Below are 19,755 nucleotides of genomic sequence, written 5' to 3'. Positions count from 1 at the left end.
CTTGTTATTTTTAGACTGTGATTGACTGCAGTTAGCTGAAACTGGAAAGTGAAATCGATAAGGGGGAACTATGGTACATTTAGTGTAACATGTTTTTCTATGGTACATTTAGTGTAACATGTTTTGAAATGTGTAGATGGAAGATAAAGGGGTTTATTAATTGGTACAAATATACAGCTTGATAGAAGAAATTAGGCTTAGTGTTGAGTAGATTAGTAGGGTGACTATAGTTTACAATAATTTATTGTATATTTCAAAATAGCTAGAAGAGAATAATTGGAATGTTTTGAGCAAAAAGACAAGCATTTAAGGTGATGGATATCCCAGTTACACTGATTTGATCTTTACGAATTATAGGCATGTGTTAAATTATCAAATGTACCCCCAAAATATGTACATCTGTTATGCATCAATTAAAACAATTTTTGAAAGAAGTATGCTTACACTGTGGAATAGGTAAATCCAGCTAATTAACATATGTATTACTTTACATACTAACCATATTTTTCTGGCGAGTATACTTAAAATCTCCTATCTTAACAATTTTCAAGAATACTATATGTTACTATACAGTGTACTATACATAACTATACATAGTGCATAACTATACATACTGTACATTGTTATTCTGTCATGTTATACAGTAGAACTCTGGAATTCATTCCCCCATCTGACAGAAGTTTTTTGTTCTTTGACTACATCTCTGTTATAGCTTCTTGATGATTGGTTCTTTTTTTTTTTTTTTTTTTTTTTTGAGACAGAGTCTCACTCTGTCACCCAGGTTAGATAGAGTGCAGTGGCACGATCTAGGCTTACTGCAACCTCCGCCTCCCGGGTTCAAACGATTCTCCTGCCTCAGTCTCCCGAGTAGCTGGGATTACAGGCTTATGCCACCAAGCCCAGCTAATTTTTGTATTTTTAGTAGAGGCGGTGTTTCATCATGTTGGCCAGGCTGGTCTCGAACTCTTGACCTCAAGTGATAACGCCCGCCTCGGCCTCCCAAAGTGCTGGGATTACAGGTGTGAGCCACTGCTCCTGGCCGATGATTGATTCTTGTGTCAATATATAATCTTTGTCTCTTGTACTTTTTGACTTAAAGTTTATTTGTGTGACTTAAAGTCACTTAAGTCTGTTATTAGTGTAACTACCCGAGCTTTCTTTTAGTACTATTTGCATGGAATATCTTTTTGCATACTTGCATTTTCAACCTATTTGTGTCTTCCACATATCATAATGTAGTTGAATCATGTTTTTTAAATGTATATTGCCAATCTCTGTCTTTTGATTGGAGAATTTAATCCGTTTATATTTGAACTAATTACTGATAAGGAATGACTTCTGCCATTTTGCTATTTGTTTTCTATATATTTTTCTTTTTCTTCCATTAATGCCTTTTGTGTTTATTTTCTTGTAGTATATTGTTTTAATTGCCTCCTCATTTCCTTTTTTTTTTTTTTTTTTTTTTTTGAGATGGAGTCTTGCTCTGTTGCCCAGGCTGGAGTACAGTGGCACGATCTTGGCTCACTGCAACCTCCGCCTCTTGGGTTCATGCCATTCTCCTGCCTCAGCCTCCTGAGTAGCTGGGACTACAGGCGTCCACCACCACACCTGGCTAATTTTTTGTATTTTTAGTGGAGATGGGGTTTCACTGTGTTAGCCAGGATGGTCTCGATCTCCTGACCTCATGATCCGCCCACCTCAGCCTCCCAAAGTGCTGGGATTACAGGCGTGAGCCACTGCGCCCAGCCCCTTTTCTGTATATTTTTAAGTTATTTCCTTAGTGATTACCCTGGAGATTATAATTCATATCTTAAATTTATTTATTTATTATTTATTTATGTATTTTGAGACAGAGTCTCACTCTGTTGCTCAGGTTGGAGTGCAGTGGTGCAATCTTGGCTCACTGCAACTGCCGTCTCCTGGGTTCAAGTGATTCTCCTGCCCCAGCCCCCTGAGTAGCTGGGATTACAGGCGTGTGCCACCATGCCTGGCTAATTTTTTTTGTATTTTTAGTAGAGATGGGGTTTTGTCATGTTGGCCAGGCTGGTCTCGAACTCTGACCTCAGATGACCCACCCTCCTCGGCCTCCCAAAGTGCTGGGATTACAGATGTGAGCCACCGCACCCAGCCTCATTATTATAAAATTTTAATGTTTTGATTATTTATTGACCATGTGTCATAGTCATGTTGATTTGAATTTCTTTCACTATTGAGTTTGAATCTTGTTGTTTGTTTTTTGTAAACTGCGATTTCCTTTGATCATTAGACTCTTTATTAGCCTTTCATCTGTGTTGCAGTTTGAGCCTGGGTCCGATCCAATGGGAGATGTCTGTGTGTGTGCCATGGTCCATCTTGACTGGAGACAGGCAGTTCCTCCTACTGGAGGACGCTTGTTGGGCCAGCCCCAGGGCCTCTTAAATCACTCATTCATTCAGCGAAAATGCACAAATACCTACTGTGGGCCAGGTCTGTGCTGGTGCTTGGGAAATGGCAGGAACCAGACATCCCTGTTCCATACCTTGTGAACAAACAGACTTACAGGGTGGCACCAAGTAAGTAAGATGGGTGGGGCGTCATCTCAGAACATAGCTTTTCTGCTGAGCTGTGCTGGTTTTGTTTTGGTTTTGGTTTTTTTTTTTTTTGAAATGGAGTCTCACTCTGTTGCCAGGCTGGCATGCAGTGGCACCATCTTGGGTCACTGCAACCTCTACCTCCCAGGTTCAAGCAATTCTCCTGCCTCAGCCTCCCGAGTAGCTGAGACTAAGGCACACGCCGCCACGCCCGGCTAATTTTTTTTATTTTTATTTTACTAGAGACGGGTTTCACCATGTTGCCCAGGCTGGGCTTGACCTCCTGACCTCAGGTGATCCGTCCACCTTGGCGCATGTCTGTAATCCCAGCTACTTGGGAGGCTGAGGCAGGAGAATCGCTTGAACCCAGGAGGCAGAGGTTGCAGTGAGCCAAGATCACGCCGCTGCACTCCAGCCTGGGCGAGAGAGTGAGACTCCGTCTAAAAAAAGAAAATTGATATCCTCACATTTGCCCATCATGTCCTTGAAATGAGAAGTCAGATTGTTCTCTCCATCTCAGCAACTTGACCTTGGTGGGATCAGAAGGCCAGTCCTCAGGGCGGACCCTCTTGGGCACAGTGGGCCCAGGCCCTCCTCTGTGGGAATCACGGGGTTTAGAACCTTTAGCTTTCTTCTGGAGGTTCACCTGCCCTCACAGGCGCTTCCTTCCAGGACAGATGTCCCACGGCTTGCAGATGGCTGGGCCCCAGGAGACGGTGCTAGCCCTTCCTCTGAGAGAAGGTAGGCGTCTCTCACCTGCACAGGTAAATCCCCACTGAGGTTTGGGGGCGAGAGGAAGTGGAGAGCCCATGGCTGAAGGATTTCCCTTGCATCCTTCCCACAGCAACCCCAAGTTGTTCTCTCACCCATTTGCTGCTCTCCTTACCCAGTGTGGCTTGACGTCTGGGACAGTGGCAGGTGGGCAGAGGGACCACAGTATTCTGTCCTGTCTGCAGGGGTGCAGGCTGCCGCCACCGTGCCCATCCTCCTGTACAACCTGGAGGATGGCTTGTCAGACCATCCCCTGGACCAGGGGCCCCGCTGCCCTGCCCGGCGGCCCTGCAGCCCTGCCTCGGCTCCAGCTCCCACATCGCCAAAGAAGCCCAAGATACAGGCACCTGGGGAAACGTTTCCCACTGACTGGAGCCCCCCGCCCGTGGAATTCCTCAACCCGAGGGTGCTGCAGGCCAGTCGGGAGGCCCCGGCCCAGAGGTGGGTGGGTGTGGTGGGCCCCCAGGGCCTGAGGAGACTGGCTGGTGAGCTGCCCGAGGAGTTGGAGCAGGAACACCTGGACTTGGACCCGAAGAGGGGCCTGGCCTTGCCAGAGAAGCTGTTCTGGAACACGTCAGGCCTGAGCCAGCAGGCTGCGGCCCCAGAGGTGAGCCTGTGTCCACCCTTGGCCTCTTCTCCTTGGCTACCCATCTTTAGCCACCCTTTTACAGTCACCCCAGGCCACCCTCTCCTGAGCCACGCCCCAGCTGCTCTTCCTCGGACACTTCACCTTGACCATCCCTGCTCAGCCCTTGGGCCCTCATGGCTGGAAGCGCAGGCCCCCAAGGCCAGGATGCACCTCGCCCTGTGTCTCCACCAGTAACTCCTGCTGACAAATGGCTTTGGGTGGCAACAAATTCGATGCCACTTCATGGGGCCCCTTGAGGCTTTCATGGCTGAGGTTAGGGTTATGGCCCCGGAGCAAGGAGGGATCTCAGAGCTGAGGTCTGGGCTTGGTTGTCTGTAGAGACTCAAGCTGACTCTGGTCCAGTGGATCGGGAGTCCTAAATGGAACTTCAATGATGAACTTCAAATTGGGAGTAAGCTCCTGCTGCTAGGTAGACTGTGGGACATTTACAGGCTGTGGATCGAGAACAGTTATTCTAAGAATGGGTTTCAGCTGTTTGTAACAGCCTGCGAGAGAGAGACAGACAGACAGACAGACAGAGACACAAGGGAGAGGGGGACAGAGGGAAGGAGAGAGAGAGGGAGGTGGGAGAGAGGGAAGGAGGGGGAGAAGGAGAGAGAGGGAGGGAGGGAGAGGAGAGGAGGAGAGGGCAATGGGGAGGGGCACAGTGGGAAAGGGAGCAGATAGGGAGGGGGAGAGAAGCTCTTTGGCTTTGATAGGGAATGATGTCAGATCATTGAGATTGAAAAGTGTGTGGTGCAGGATAGAGCCTGGTGCAGGATAAGCTGTGTGGTGTGGTGTGCTGGCGCCTGTGATGTGGTGTTGTTTGCTGTCTCTGTGTGAAGTGTCTCTGAAAGCACATGAGGAATGCCTATCCCATGGGCACCTGTGGGGAGGGAACAGGTGGCTGGGGGTGGGGATGGGGGCAGGGAGACATTTTACCCTGCGCCTTTATACTTTTTGATTTTTTAATCCTGTAAACATAGTATCTTTTCAGAAAAGCAAACAAAATAAATAAAGGGCTTAATTTAGTTTTTTTTCTTTTTTCTCCTCTATCTTTGTACTTCTCTGTCGTCCTCATTCCCATGTCCTGTTTCTCCAGTTTTCCTGGGGGGGCTCAGGAAGCTACTTCAACAACCTGGACTACTTACTGCAGGAGAAGAGGTGAGCACAGGGCGTGGCCTGTCATGGGGTGCTTATTTCTGCAGGGTTGGCAGCAGTCCCGGGACTCACTGCAGAGTCTGGTCGGAGTACAGCGGCCTCCCACCCAGACTCAGCCTGCCCTGTGTGCTCTGATCAGTAACAGGCAGGTCGCCAGGGCAGGGGGTGGCATCACCAAGGCAGAGAGCCCCCAGACTCCCACCACGAACAGAGCCCTCCTTCTGGGTCCCCTCTCCACCTTGGCTCCATTCTGCCCAACTCCTGCCAGTTTGAGGGTGTCTCCTCCCACTCAAGGGTTATGTGAGAGGGAAGTGGAAAAGCAGACTGTTTTGTGGCTGAGGGTTACAGCCTGGCTGTGGCTGGAGGGTCATGCTGGGCAGACGGGACTTCCTAACATTTCTGCCGCTGCTTTCTACCCCAGTGTGCAGGCACGCGTTGCCCATTTTCCCATCCTCTCTGAGTTTCACACCTGCCTTCTCCCAGCATATTAGCTTCTAACTAGCTCTCTCCCTGTCTGCCATAAGTAGTTTCCACGGACCGCTGAAGGCAACAGTCACGTCTGATGAGATTGGAAATCCCTAGGGAGGTGCAGGTGGCTGGGGACAGACAGGGGTCGTCTTCATGGGGGCATGCTCTTTGGTGGCATGTGAGCAGGTTGTTCACACTTCCTGAGTCTTTGTCCTCTCCCGTTGTTGTGTTGTGTTGTTTTTGTTCAGTGCATGTCCATTGTGTTTGCAGAAGTTAAGTGTGGGCGGGGGCGATGCCACCCTGGAACACCCAGCTCTCCTGGTGGGAGGACTGATACCCACTCTTTCCACCCTCCTCAAAGTTCCCAGCCCTGTTGGCAGAGAGCTCCTCATGCACTGGGATGAATTATTCTTTGGTCCATTCTTGGCCCTCTGGCCCGCCCTGGAGTCATCTCATCTGCCTCTGCTGTGCAGCCCCTCTGGGCTCCTCCGACCCGGGAACTTGTGTTGTTCAGCTCCTTCACCTGAGTGATTTTCTCCCATTAGATTGTACGTTAGGGAAGGGACCATGCCTATATATTTCCACGGTGCCCAGCATGGTGATGTACATTTAGTAGACGCTTGAAAATATTGGCAGGAAAATGAGCAGCTGGGGCCTCCTCGTGACTGCTTGTCGGTGTGCCTGGCATTGGGAGGGTCCTGCTCTGTGCTAGTCAGCTCGGGCTGCTGTAACAGGATGGCACACACTGGGGGCTTAAACAATACAGTTATTTCTCCCAGTTCTGGTGGCCAGCAGCCCAGGATTGAGGTTCTGGTCAGTCGGTTCCTGGTGAGGGCACTCTTTCTTGCTTCTTGCTGTGTCCTCACGTGGCAGAGAGAGCACAAGCTCTCTGGTGTCTCTTCTTTTAAGGACACTAATCCTGTGGGATCAGGGCCTGTCCTATGACCTCATTTTACCTTAATTACTTTCTTACTCCAAATATAGCTATACTGGGGTTAGGGCTTCAACATAGGAATTCTGGGAAGACACAGACATTTAGTCCATAGGACGCTGTGTGCTGCACCATGCCAGGCTCTGGATAGTGGAGCTGATGGTGCAGCCCCTGCTTCCCTGGCAATTTAGCATAATGATCTCATACTACCCACACTGTCATGTTGCCGTGGAGGAGCCCAGAAGAGTGACACCTAACTTAACCCGGAGTCGGAAAAGGCTCCCAGATGTATCCTTGTCACTGAACCTTGCAAGAAAGGAAGTTTTGTTTGGTGGGAGGGGGATGACTGCACATGTAAAGGTGGATAAGACAGACTGTGCCGGTTAGGACCCAAATTCTCAGTGCAGAGGGGTTGGAGGGGCGAGGCAGAAGATGCAGCCAAGATGAGATGTGCATGGGGCTGGAGCCTGAGGGGCCTTGTTGGACACAAGGCTGAGTCATGGGAGAAACTGAAGCAGGCAGAGATATGTTTTCTCTTGTTTAAGAAACTGCAGGCTGCATTTGGAGAAGGGATGGGAAGGGCAAGAGCAGGACAGTGATGAGGGGCTGAGGGGGCCTGGGACGGGCTCACAGCCAGGAGGCCCCTGGGAGGAGGGTGATGGGGCTTCTGGTGGGTCTGGTGGCCTGGCTGGTAGACATGGGTCATTGGAGGGGCCCAGTCACATTCAGCTAGAAATCACTCAGTGAGTGGCTGGCTAGCAGGATCTGAGCTCACGACAGGCCTGGGGTGGAGAGAAAATGTTAGAGAACTGAGGACCCATGGGCCCAACCAGGGTGGGCACCTGGAGGGACCAGACAGGGGCTGGGGAGGCTCCCAGGGCTCTCTCCACAGCCTGGGCGCAAGGACAAGGAAGGCTGTGTTGGTTTGCAGGGCGGGAGGAGGGTAGGGGTTGGGGCTCTGGCAAGGTAACAGGTGTGTGGGGCCTATTGTGGGGGCCAGTTGAAGTGAGGCGCGCAGGGGCTGGTGGCGGAAAACAGAGCCCCAGGAGTGAGGCCGGAAGGCTAAAGAGAGAAAGGGAATGAGCAGGAGCAGAGGGGCTGCCCTAAGTGGCTGCAGAGTCAGGCCATGCACGTGTCAGGGATGCCGAGGAGCCAGGGCACGAGATCTTTCCTGGTCACGTGGCTGAGGAGCAGAAGGGCTAGCCCTAGGCCTTGGTGTGTTTAAAAAAAAAGAACGAATCCGAGTGCTTGCCTGTTGTCCCTTGAGAGGCTGAGGTGGGAAATTGCTTGAGCCCAGGCATTTGAGGCTGCGATACACTTTGGTTGCATCTGTAAAAAGCCACTGCACTCTGGCCTAGGCAACACAGTGATGTCTGGTATCAAAAAAAAAAAAAAAAAAAAAAAAAAAGACCAAACAGGGTACACAAGTAAAGATGCATTGGAAGTTGTGTGGTGAGAACCATCTTCTGGCCTGCTTGCTCCTCTCTGCTCATTTGGGGAAAGCACAGTCTATGTAATGCAACCCGTCCCCATTGCCTTAAAAATCTGTGTGAGCGGCTTCACAAGGAGACCAGCCAGGACGGCGCAGCCCTCTGGTCTTGCTGTGTTGGTGGCAACACCTGCAGCCCAGTGACAGGGTTGCACGATGGGGAACAACACTGACCCCCGGCTCTGGCCCTCGACTTCCTATAGGGAACAGGCCCTGGAGCAGGAGCGAGAGAGGCTGCTTCTGCAGGAGTGTCTCAATCTCAACTCCTTGGATCTTGATGAAGAGGAAGTGCCACTCACACCCGAGCACAGGTGAGGGGCAGGGGCCTGGCACCAGCCTCCGAAGGGGAAAGACTGAGGTGCCAACCCCCTCTGGTTTTGGACAGAGTTTTGACCAACATGGTACAGTGATTTGTGTACTATTTGTGAATTCTAAAGCTACCTCTTTCTCTTAAAGCCACATTCACTCATTGATTCAAGAAAGATCTGATCACCTACTGTGCATCAGGGTCTCATTTGAGCCTTTGCCACACAGGGATCATAAAACACAGCTTGTTCTGCCCCAATTATCTGCCCAAATTCTTAGAAACAGATCTCGGGAAAATAACTACACAAAACCACAATCTAAATGAAATCTGCTTTCAAGGGGAGGTTACGACCATGTGAGATTTTTCATCTTCCCCTAACTGGAGAAGAGAAAGTAGCTCTGAGTGGGGGCCCTGATTTAATTGGGCCATTGGCTGGAGGGAGGGCTGGCTTCATCTCTACTTCGGAGCATCAGAGATGCCCAGGGCCACAACCGAATCCATCTTCAGGGCACACTGTTTTCCATCCGTCTTGGTCTGTTGGGGCTGCTAGAACAAAGGGCCATAGACTGGTGGCTTCTAAGCAGCTGAAGTCTGTTTCCCACAGTTATGGAGGCTGGAGGTCTGAGACCCGGGAGCCAGCAGGGTCGGTCCTGGTGAGAGCGCTCTTCCAGGTTGCAGACTGCCTAAGTCTCTGTGTCCTCACGTGACAGAAAGAGGCAAGAGAGCTCTCTGGGGCCCTTTCATAAGGGTACCAATCCTATTCATGAAGGCTCCACCCTCATGCCTCATCACCTCCCAAAGGCCCCACTTCCTAATACCTTCACCCTGGGGGTGAGGATTCAACACATATATTTTGGGGGGACACAAACATAAGCCTGTAACACCATCCATTCACCCATTTGTCCATGTGTCCATCCATCCACTCACCCAGCAGACATTTATCGAGTGCCAACTATGTGCGAGGCTCTGCTGTAGCTTCGGGATGTGGCAGGAACAAAACCAGACAATCTCTGCCTTCCCACTGCTTCAGCTTTCCTTCCGGAGACAAGCAGTAAATAAGATCAGTGAAGTTGTGCTGCAAGGGCTCCTGAGAAAGGCTAACGCTGGGGGCATAAGGAGTGCTGGGAAAGGTGTGGGCTCTGATGATGTGGGCTCTAATCATGTGGGCTTTGATGATGAAGGCTCTGATGATGAAGGGTGTGGGCTCTGATGATGAAGGGATGTGGGCTCTGGGAAGGGTGTGGGCTGTGATGAGGGCTCAGGGAAGGCCTTGTGAGCAGGTCTTCTAAGCAGCACCTCGAGGAGGTGAGAGCCAGTTCCAGGGACCCTGCTGTGGGAGTGCACCTGGCGTGTGGGAGCCTGGAGGAGGGGGCTGGTGGGGGATAGGAGGTGAGGGAGGCCAGGGGCAGGCACTGGCTCTTGGAGGCTTTCCTCTGAGTTAATTGGACACATGTCTGCATAGGACCCTCTGGCCGCTGTGTTGAGGATAGACCAGTTAGGTGTGGAGGCCAGGGCAGGAGGGAGGGGACCAGGAGCAGAGGAGGCCTTGGCAGGAATCCAAAAGTAATGACGGTGCTTGAGGATGGGGTGGACACTGAGGAGTGGGCAAATTCTGGGTGTATTTTCAGGGTAGAAGTGACAGGATTTGCTGACAAATGGATGGAAGGTCTAGGAGTAAGAGAGGACTCAAAAGGGACCCCCGGAGCTTAGGTCTGAGCAACTGGAAGGTTGGAGTTATCTTTAAATAAATTGGGGGAGGCTGGGCACGGTGGCTCATGCCTGTAATTGCAACACTTTGGGAGGCCAAGGCAGGAGGATTGCTTGGGCCCAGGAGTTTTAAGACCAGCCCCGGCAACACAGGGAGAGCTTGTCTGTCCTAAAACATTTTTAAAAAGTACACAGATGTGTTGGCACATGCCCGTAGTTCCAGCTACTTGGGAGGCTGAGATAGGAGGATCACTTGAGCCGGGGAGGTTGAGGCTGCAGTGAGCTGTGATCACACCACTGCACCACAGCCTGGGTGACACAGCAAGACCTTATCTCTTAAAAAAAAAAAATGGGGGGAGACTGATTGACTGCGCTACATGCTGCGGGTAGGGTGGGCTTGGAATCAAGGGTTCATTTGGGGCATCCTGGGGCAAGATCAGGGAGGCTACTTGGAGAGGCAAGCTTGGGAGTCACTGTGTACGTATGACATTTAAAGCCACAAAACCAGGGCAGAGCATGGTGGCTCTCATCTTGTAATCCCAGCGCTTTGGGAGGCTGAAGCAGGTGAATCACTTGAGCCAAGGAGTTTTGAGACCAGCCTGGCCAACATGGTGAAACCCTGAACCCTGTCTCTACTAAAAATACAAAAATTAGCTGGGCGTGGTGACGCGTACCTGTAATCCCAGCTACTCAGGAGGCTGAAGCAGGAGAATCACTTGAACCCGGGAGGTGGAGGTTGCAGTGAGCTGAGATCGTACCACCTCACTCCAGCCTGGGCGACAGAGCGAGACTCCGTCTCAAAAATAAAAGTAAATAATAAATAAAGCCACCAAACCGGATGATCACCTGGGGAGAGAGAACAGCAGGGGCCCAAGGGTATGGAGCCCACAGCATTTGGCAGCCACAAGGAGGAGATGGCAAAGGAGATGGAGCAGGTTGCAGGGAAGCCAGATGCCTGGGTGCCAGGCTGCTGGCCCAGAGTGGGAATGATTGACGTATGATTTAGAGGTCACAGTGCCCTGCACAGGAGCAGCTCTGCTGGAGGCTAACCTGACTGGAGTGGGCTCCTGGAAGAACAAGAAGGGACGAAGGAGAAGAATGGGCAGTAGCTGAAAAGGGAAGTGGGGTCAGATCAGTGGGGTGGTTTCTTTCTGGCTTTTCTGTTTCTCTTTCTTTGATAGAGTAACAGCACGTCTGTAGGCCAATGGTAGTGACCAAGGGAGCGGGGAATCGATGCTAGGGAGGCTGGAGGGGAAACTTGAAGAACATGTGCATTGGGCTGCAGGGGAGGAGGTGGCCCCAGCTGTGTGGCCAGGGTGGGTCAGGCAATACACCCCGTCTCCTCTGCCACCTGGGCCTTGCTGCTTCTGTGAGCCTGGCCGAGGTATTATTTAGTGCTGGTCTAAGCACCACATGGGCGAAGTTCAGTTGCACGCCCTAGGTTAGCATTCTGCATTCACTCTTTAAAGGCCTGTTGAGTGATAACACACAGAGTTCCTGGTGGAGGGATGTGGCCTGCTTTTAGGATCCCCACATTACATGGGTGCCCAGAGATAGTTATGAGTCACACCTGGGCTGGCCATTTACCTTTTTTTTTTTTGAAGTTTTTCTGATAATCATCTCTCTCTTTTATTTTATTTTTCCCCCAAGATGGAGTCTCACTCTGTCGCCCAGGCTGGAGTTATCTTGGCTCACTGCAACCTCCGCCTCCCAGGTTCAAACGATTCTCATGCTTCAGCCTCCCGAGAAGCTGGGACTACAGGTGTGGGCCACCACACCTGGCTAATTTTTATATTTTTAGTAGAGACAAGATTTTGCCACATTGGCCAGGCTGGTCTTGAACACCTGGCCACCAGGGCTCAAGCAATCTGCCTGCCTCGGCCTCCCCAAGTGCTGGGATTACAGGCGTGAGCCACCGTGCCCAGCCTGATAATCATCTCTTGACTAAATCAAGGATCAGCAAACTTTGTGAAAAGTTTGTAAATAGCAAATATTTTAGGCCTTGAGGACCAGGTGGTCTCTGTCAACTCTGCTGCTGCAGCAGGAGGCTCCTGCAGATGCTGGGTGAATGAAGGCGCATGGCTGTGCTGCAGTGAGCCCTTGTTGCAGAAACAGGCCCCACACAGGACTCGGCCTGCAGGCTGTACTTTGCCTGGCCCAAATTAGAAGGACCCCTGCCTCCTGACTGGTGCCAGTTTTTATGGTGAAAGTTTAGGAATGTGTTGGGATTTGAGCAGCCGTCCCAGGTGGACAAAGAGAGCTCCTCACACACTGCCCAGAGTTCCAGGGAAAGGCAGCCGGCCATGACGTCCCACATGGACTCCCACGAGGCAGGTGCTGCTTCCTGTCTGATGTTGCAGGAAGCATGTGGATGGGCATGGTGGGGCATGTAGACTGAATTTAATTAGCGTGTTTAGGGCCAAAGGCCTTCCTCGGCAAGAGCACTTTGGCAGCATTATATTTGATGAAAGCAACTTTCTCTCTGAGCTGAGGTGCATGGATTTGGTTTCCAGGTTCTCCACTCACTAGCTACATAGCCATGGAATCAAACCTTTTAAAACCTTTTTAAAAATCTCTGCAGCAAGAGTAATTCTTCCAGCTCTGTATCTTTCTACTGAGTACCTCCAGCATTCCGGAAGTCATGGCTTGGATGTTTTGAAACTCCTCACAGAAAGGAAGTTATCTGTGCAACCAGCTTAACGCAGAAGGTAGTCCTGGCTTTGAAAACACTGGTAATTTGCTGGGCGCATGACGTTTTCTAGTGGTGCTTTGAGAAAGCCTCTTTGACAGCAGCCACTTTGAGGTGGTGGTTTTGATGTGGGATCATCTGGATGGGACTGTTCAGCTTTCTGCTTTACAAAAGTCATTCACCAGTGTACAAAGCCAGCAGCCTCTTCATCCCTGAATAGGGCCAGGGAAGGGGGTGCAGGTCAGGAAGGGATGCTTAGGGTGGGGGCTGACCACTGCCTGCCAGACAAGGCGTCATCTAATTGCCACAACTGCCCGTCACAGAAAGGACCCCTGACAGTCCCGAGCAAGCATCTGTGCATGCTCTAACAATCGGCTTGCATCTTGAATGGGTGACATCCTCAATTCTCCATTTCTTAAAGTTAAAAGACCTTGCGTGTGTGCTGAGCCTGGGGCAGAGGCAGATATTTAAACCACAACATCATCCTTTATTCTCAGCTCTAGGCTGCACAGGAAATCCCCAATTAGATGTATAAGAGTCGCCTCAGGACTCTTAATAATGCACATACATTACAGCCAGCATCACAGAAGTCCCTTTAAAAGATGGTTTTAGGGACAGGGACAGGACCCCTTTGTAGATTAGCCTAGTTCTTATAGGCTTTTTTTTCTTTCTTTCTTTCTTTCTTTTTTTTTTTTTCTTGAGACGAAGTCTTGCACTGTTGCCAGGGCTGGAGTGCAATGGCACAGTCTTGGTTCACTGCAACCTCTACCTCCCAGGTTCAAGCAATTCTCCTGCCTCAGCCTCCCTTTTGTATTTTCTTCCCTTTGAGATGGAGTCTTGCTCTGTCACCCAGGCAGGAGTGCAGCGGTGCAATCTCGGCTTACCGCAACATCCACCTCCCAGATTCAAGCAATTCACCTGCCTCAGCCTCCCAAGTAGCTGGGATTACAGGTGCCGGCTACCACGCCCAGCTAATTTTTGTATTTTTAGTAGAGACGGGGTTTCACCATGTTGGCCAGGCTGGTCTTGAACTCCCGACCTCAGGTGATCCGCCCACCTCAGCCTCCCATAGTGCTGAGCCACCGCACCTGGCCTAGGCTTTTAATAATTTGTTCATTTTTTCAAACTAAAAAACAATTTAAGCAATAGATACAAAACTAATGGCAAAGACATGAACCAAACAGGAAATTGTTTTACCGTTTGTGTGGTGGTTTGGTGAGATGCTTCCTGAAGCCCGCAGGGTCAGAGTCCTCCCGGGTCTGCAGCATCGTTCCCATTTGTTGTGCCATTTCATTCTCAGGACCACCCTGTGATGTGGGTCAGGGCCGTACCTTGGGTCACTTGGCCAGAAAGTGAGACAGGTTCCATGTGCTAGGTTGGTGGGCTGCAGGCGACGCCACACCACACCCAGTGCCAGTTGCTCATGTCCAGATCCTAAGGGGGCCCCTGGGCTGTTCTGCCCCTGGGTTTGCTGTCCCAAACAGTGGGCCTAGCCGGAAACCAGGGAATGGGCCGTCTCCTGATTAGAGGAAGAGAGGCAGTGTCCAGAGCTTGTTTTATTTTATTGTTCCTGTTGTTAAATTTGTGTTATATTGCTATAAAATGAAGCAGAACATAGTTATATGAAGTAAAGAGGAAGTTGCCCTCTTTTCCTCTCCCCTCCCTCTGATTCTGCTCCCTGGGATGACCCTCAGTTGTAGTGGGATATGTCATATGCTGGGGGTGGGCGTTGCACGTGTCTGAGCATGTCTGTGTCCGTGCATATGTGTGTAGGCTTGTGTGTGTGTACACACACACACACACACACACACACACCCTCTGCTGCTGTTTTCACCCAAGAACTTGGGCTCAGCCACGTTGCCAGTCCTTCTTTATGTAGATTTAGCTCATTCTTGGGAAACATCTTCGCTGCCTCCCTTTTCCCCATCCTCATTTCAATGGGTCATTAAGTCCTGACAGTTTTCACCTCTCTCCGATACTGTTGAAATGTATCCCTTCTCCTCGTCCCTTCTTTGTCCATGGGGCCAGCTCCCATCCACTAAATCAGACTCTCTGGGCCGGACCGGGCCCAGGATCTGCATTGCAGCAGCTGTCTGGGTGGTCCTCAGAGCCCTGGAGCTTGAGGACTGCTGGCCCTGAGAGAGAATCAGGCTCCTTCATATGGGCTCAAGACCCTCCTGCTTCCGCCCACGCCCATGCCACCTGCTTGCCAGCCTTCCTGCCCCTCCCAGGATGCCGTCCCCGACACTGGCCGCACCCAGCGCTCCTCTCCTGGGCCCTTATGGAGCCGCCCTGTAGGCCTCTCTGTCCACTCGCCAGAGGGGATTGCCGTGATTTGTTTATGCCCTTCCTGGGTGGTCCATTCCTGACTCACCCTCCGTACCTGGCATTGTAGGTGTGCAGTGGAAGTCTGACCTGACAGATCCAGTGGGTGGGGTTGGGTCTTCTGGCTGCTGGACTGGTGCCCTGAGCAAGGGATAGGCCTTATTGATGGGAGACTGAAGGGCTCCTGCGTGCCTAGGTGGGCTCTTCCTCCATCAGCAGGTGGCGCTGTCCCCTTGGTTTGCCGCAAGGACTGCAAGGCAGGGAGCCCGTGGCCCCCCTCTATCCTTCCCTGGGCTAATGGCCATGCCTCAGGCCGAGGTGCATCTGCTGATGCCCGGCCCTCCTGCCCCTTGCCTTGCCAGGATGCTGGTGGAAAAGTACTCAGTGTCCCTGCAGACCATCCCGCCGGTCCATCCAGGTGAGACTGTGTTTCTGCCCAGGTGTCACCCCCTGCCATGCATCCTGGACTCCTCACTCCTGAAGCCACGCAGCCACCTGGAAGGGCTGTTCCTCAGGTAAGTGTGGGGAGGAGGGGTGAGGGGGTGGCGCAGCCTGTCCAGGACCCCTCCCTCCTGGAGTCCAGGGATAAGGGCCACCCCAAAGGGGGAAGTTCGAAGAGGTGATCAGGCCAATTTGAATGTGTCAGTTTTTAGAGATATAGGTGACATTGTCTACTTACAGTATTTCATTTACTAATTTTGTTGCACATAATTAAAAAATTCCCACATTATAGCAGATAGCCAGTTGTGCATTTACAGGTTCATGTTGCTTTTCCCTCCCCTACACCCCAGTGTCACAGAACAGCAGACTCACCATGAGTGCCTTGGGGCTGTGTCTCCATCAGCACTGGCCCCTTCCTGGGCCATCGAGGGCACGTGATGGGCCCTTCCACATACTTGTTGGAGGCACTTCAGTGTGTGTGTGATGCAGACACTGAAAAGCGTGTCCCCAGCTGCAGGCACATGCTCTAACAATACAACAGCTGTCTTATTCTTTTTGGGAGTAAATGCATGATCATTATCACGTAACCATTGACTATATTGCTTTTTGAGAGAATTTTTAAAAGATTTACCACAACCTTATCCAACACTTGGAATTATGAGCTAATATATCCAAGAAGAAGAGGAAAGAAAGTCCTCAGGGTTCAGTGCAGCGGCGTCTGCTGGGTGCTCACACAGGCTGGTGCCCTGTGGGGCTGGAGGCCAGGGCGGTGGAGAAGGGGCTGTCCTTGCCCACCTGGTGAGGAACACAGAGGTGGAGCTGCTGCTGTGGTCTCTTCGGCCACCTTAGGACTTGAATGCCAGAGTCTTGCTCTCTTTTCCAGTTATACAGGGCTTATGTTTATTTCATGAATTCCAAGTCCGTCTTATTGTATGATACAAAGATTACTGTTAACATTCTGATATGCTTCCTTTGAAAGTTTTTATCGTGGAAAGTTAACAAACACATATCAAAGTATAGAGAACCATATAACGTCCCTCCACACACCCATCACTCACTTTCAGCAAGGATCAACTCAAAGCCAATCTTGTTTCCTCTCAACCTCTGCCTACCAACACCATTATTGCAGGATTACTTTTTTTTTTTTTTTTTTTTTTTTTTTCAAAACTGAGTCTCGCTCTGTCACCCAGGCTGGAGTGCAGTGGCGTGATCTCGGCTCACTGCAACCTCCGCCTCCTGGGTTCAAGCGATTCTCATGCCTCAGCCTCCTGAGTAGCTGGGACTACAGGCACCTGCCACCATGCCTGGCTAATTTTTGTATTTTTAGTAGAGACGGGGTTTCACCATGTTGGTCAGGCTGGTCTCGAATTCCTGACCTTGTGATCTGCCCACCTCGGCCTCCCAAAGTGCTGGGATTACAGGCATGAGCCACCGTGTCCAGCCACCTCAGGAATACTTTTAAGCAAATCCTCAGACACAGAAAATTTAATCTACAAATACTTCAGTTTGTGTCTCTAAAACATAAGACTCTATTTTTAGACATAACTTCGATATTACTATCATACCTGAAGAAATAGTAATTTCTTAATAGTGCTAATATCAGTTAATGCTCAGATTTCAATTTTTTTTTTTTTTTTTTTTTTTTTTTTTTTTTTTTTTTTTTTAGTATTTTGAGATGGAGTCTCACTCTGTCGCCCAGGCTGGAGTGCAGTGGCGCCATCTCGGCTCACTGCAACCTCCGCCCCTCTGACTGAAGCAATTCTCCCACCTCAGCCTGCTGAGTGGCTGGGTTTACAGGTGTGTGCCACCGCTCTAGGTTAATTTTTGTATTTTTTTGTAGAGATGGGGGTCTCGCCATGTTGCCCAGGTTGGTCTTGAACTCCAGGGCTCAAGTGATTCTCCTGCCTCAGCCTCCCAAAGTGCTGGGATTACAGATGTGAGCCACTGCGCCTGGCCTTCAATTTTCTTTAGATGTCTTTAATAGATTATTCAGGCCGGACGTGGTGGCTCACGCCTGTAACCCCAACACTTTGGGAGGCCGAGGCGGGCGGATCATGAGGTCAGGAGATCGAGACCATCCTGGCTAACACGGTGAAACCACGTCTCTACTAAAAATACAAAAAAATTAGCTGGGCGTGGTAGCGGGCGCCTGTAGTCCCAGCTACTCAGGAGGCTGTGGCAGGAGAATAGGCATGAATCCGGGAGGCGGAGCTTGCAGTGAGCTGAGATCGTGCCACTGCACTCCAGCCTAGGGGACAGAGCGAGACTCCATCTCAAAAAAAAAAAAAAAAAAAGATTCTTCAAATCAGAATCTGAACAATGTCCAAACATTCCAATTAGATGATAAAATGTTAATAATGAACTAATACTTTATTACATTGATGCCCTAACATATTTAACCATTTTCTCATTTTTTGAACATAAAAGTTTTTTCCAACCTTCCTTTATTATAAATAATACGGCGGGGAATATTGGGGAGTATTTGTCTGGAGGTCTAAAATGTGTTCATAGCTGCAGTGTGAGGTTATTGGGTCTGAGTGTAAGAACATTAGTAAGGGTTCACATCACCATGTTGGAAAGGTATTTAATAAATAGATAGATGGTGAAAAGAAGAAAGAGCTGGAGAAAGGAGAGAGCCAAAGAATGTCTGGGCAGGAACTGAGGTGAACAGCGGAGAAAGGAAGGCGTCTTCCTGGGCTGCTTCAGCCTTGGAGTTTGTGCCGACAGCAGGTTTTCTGTCCTAGAGTGGATGGCGTGCAGGAAGTGTTTGACAGATGAGATGGCCCATGGAGCGGTGACCTGGGATCAGAGCAGGCCTGCCAAATGGGGCCAGGTGGCTGCCCAGCTTCCCTGGAGTGAGGGTTTCAGACCCTCCTCCCTCAGATATGCTAATGAGGCTCAGTAGAGAGGGTGTTGCCAGTGCCTCAGATCTGCAGTCTTGGGAATCGGCTTTGGGCTTTCTGGAGGGAATGCCCGCTGTGTGACTCGGTCTCAGTCCTGGGACCTCTGCCGGGCAGTGGCGAGGCCCACTTCCTGGAGGTCACCATTTAGCCCTGGGTCATCTTTCATTTCCTCCTTGTGCCAAGGACTTCAAGGCCAGACATAAGAGTGGGAAAACACTAGTCAGTCATTCAATAATAACCTTACCATATTCAGCCAGAAACATGGCCATGGAGGCGGGTGACAAGGGGATCTCTTAAGAAGCAGTCAGCCGGGGCATGGTGGCTCATGCCTATAATCCCAGCACTTTGGGAGGATCGCTTGAGCTCAGGAGTTCTAGAGCAGCCTGGCCAACATGGAGAAACCCCGTCTCAACCCAAAAAAATGCAAAAAAAAAATGAGCCATGGGTGATAGCACACCTGTGGTCCCAGCTACTCAGCAGGCTGAGAAGGGACAATTGCTTGAGCCTAGGGAGGTTGAGGCTGCAGTGAGCCGTGATCATGCCAGTGCACTCCAGCCTGGGCAACAGAGTGAGACCCTGTCTCAAAAAATAATAATAAATAAAAAGCTGTCAGTCCAATTCCATACACAAAGTTGCTGCTGTGGTCTGTGGCCATGCCACCCTGAACATGCTGGATGTTCTCTCATCTCAGAGGCTGAGCAGGGCCCGGCCTGGTTAGTACTTGGGTGGGAGAAAGTTCATGCTGTGGGAGCTGACAGCTAGGTTTTCATTTTCCTCGTTATACCACCTTTATATTCCTAACTTTCTACAGTGAACGTATATCATTTTTATCATTAGAAGAGAGGAAAGTAAATGCCATTTTTTAAAAAATCAACTCTTGAAATAGATTCACTTCTCCTTACCTTTCTGTGAAAGGGGGAAAATATCTTTCTTCCCTCTGAACAAAGTAGGCAATAGCACAAATTAAGCAGTTTGTTTCAGACTGCAGAGCGAGCTTGGGTGGGCTTGGCGTCTGCGTCCCAGCAGCTGTCCTGTTGGACCTATCCAGGTTTATGTGCAAGAACCCTCTTCCCGGGGAGCCTGCCTTGGGAGTGCATGTGGTCCAGATGACCTGCTCATCCATCACCAAGCTAGCTGTGCATCCCAGGGTCAGTCCCCTGCCACCACAGTCACATGTCATTATGACGGAAGCTGATAACAGCTGATTGCAGGAGCTGAACTTTTTTCCTCCACCCTTGACAGTAATTCAAAAGGAAATCCAATGCTCCTGCATGGAAAAGTGTCAGGACCAAAGCCCACATCCCACTCGGGGGCGGAAGTTGGAAGGGTGGAGTTTGTCTGCCCTGCTCAGTTAGTCATAGGCCC

General features: G+C 50.4%; 1 protein-coding gene and 1 pseudogene across 1 annotated transcript in view, besides 1 other annotated feature; both read left to right on the top strand.

The window, feature by feature from the left end:
* Window positions 1-19,755, top strand: part of FAM178B (family with sequence similarity 178 member B) — a 110,696-nt gene that overhangs the window by 10,732 nt on the left and 80,209 nt on the right. The window contains exons 2-6 of the mRNA NM_001122646.3: window positions 3,243-3,311; window positions 3,527-3,948; window positions 5,072-5,133; window positions 8,222-8,329; window positions 15,409-15,561. Of these exons, the coding sequence (NP_001116118.2) occupies window positions 3,243-3,311; window positions 3,527-3,948; window positions 5,072-5,133; window positions 8,222-8,329; window positions 15,409-15,561 (814 nt within the window). The remainder of the gene's footprint in view (window positions 1-3,242; window positions 3,312-3,526; window positions 3,949-5,071; window positions 5,134-8,221; window positions 8,330-15,408; window positions 15,562-19,755) is intronic.
* Window positions 15,143-15,437: a silencer, noted in NCBI's record as "tiled region #7419; HepG2 Repressive DNase unmatched - State 12:CtcfO". NCBI's record gives its function as "represses a minimal TATA promoter and a strong SV40 promoter by Sharpr-MPRA in HepG2 cells {active_cell/tissue: HepG2}" and the evidence as "EXISTENCE:reporter gene assay evidence [ECO:0000049][PMID:27701403]".
* Window positions 19,034-19,141, top strand: RNA5SP101 (RNA, 5S ribosomal pseudogene 101; annotated as a pseudogene).

Source organism: Homo sapiens, chromosome 2 (assembly GCF_000001405.40).
Source record: "Homo sapiens chromosome 2, GRCh38.p14 Primary Assembly".
Taxonomy (NCBI): domain Eukaryota; kingdom Metazoa; phylum Chordata; class Mammalia; order Primates; family Hominidae; genus Homo; species Homo sapiens.
Note: the sequence above shows the minus strand (reverse complement) of the source record. Positions and strands in the feature narration are given on the sequence as shown.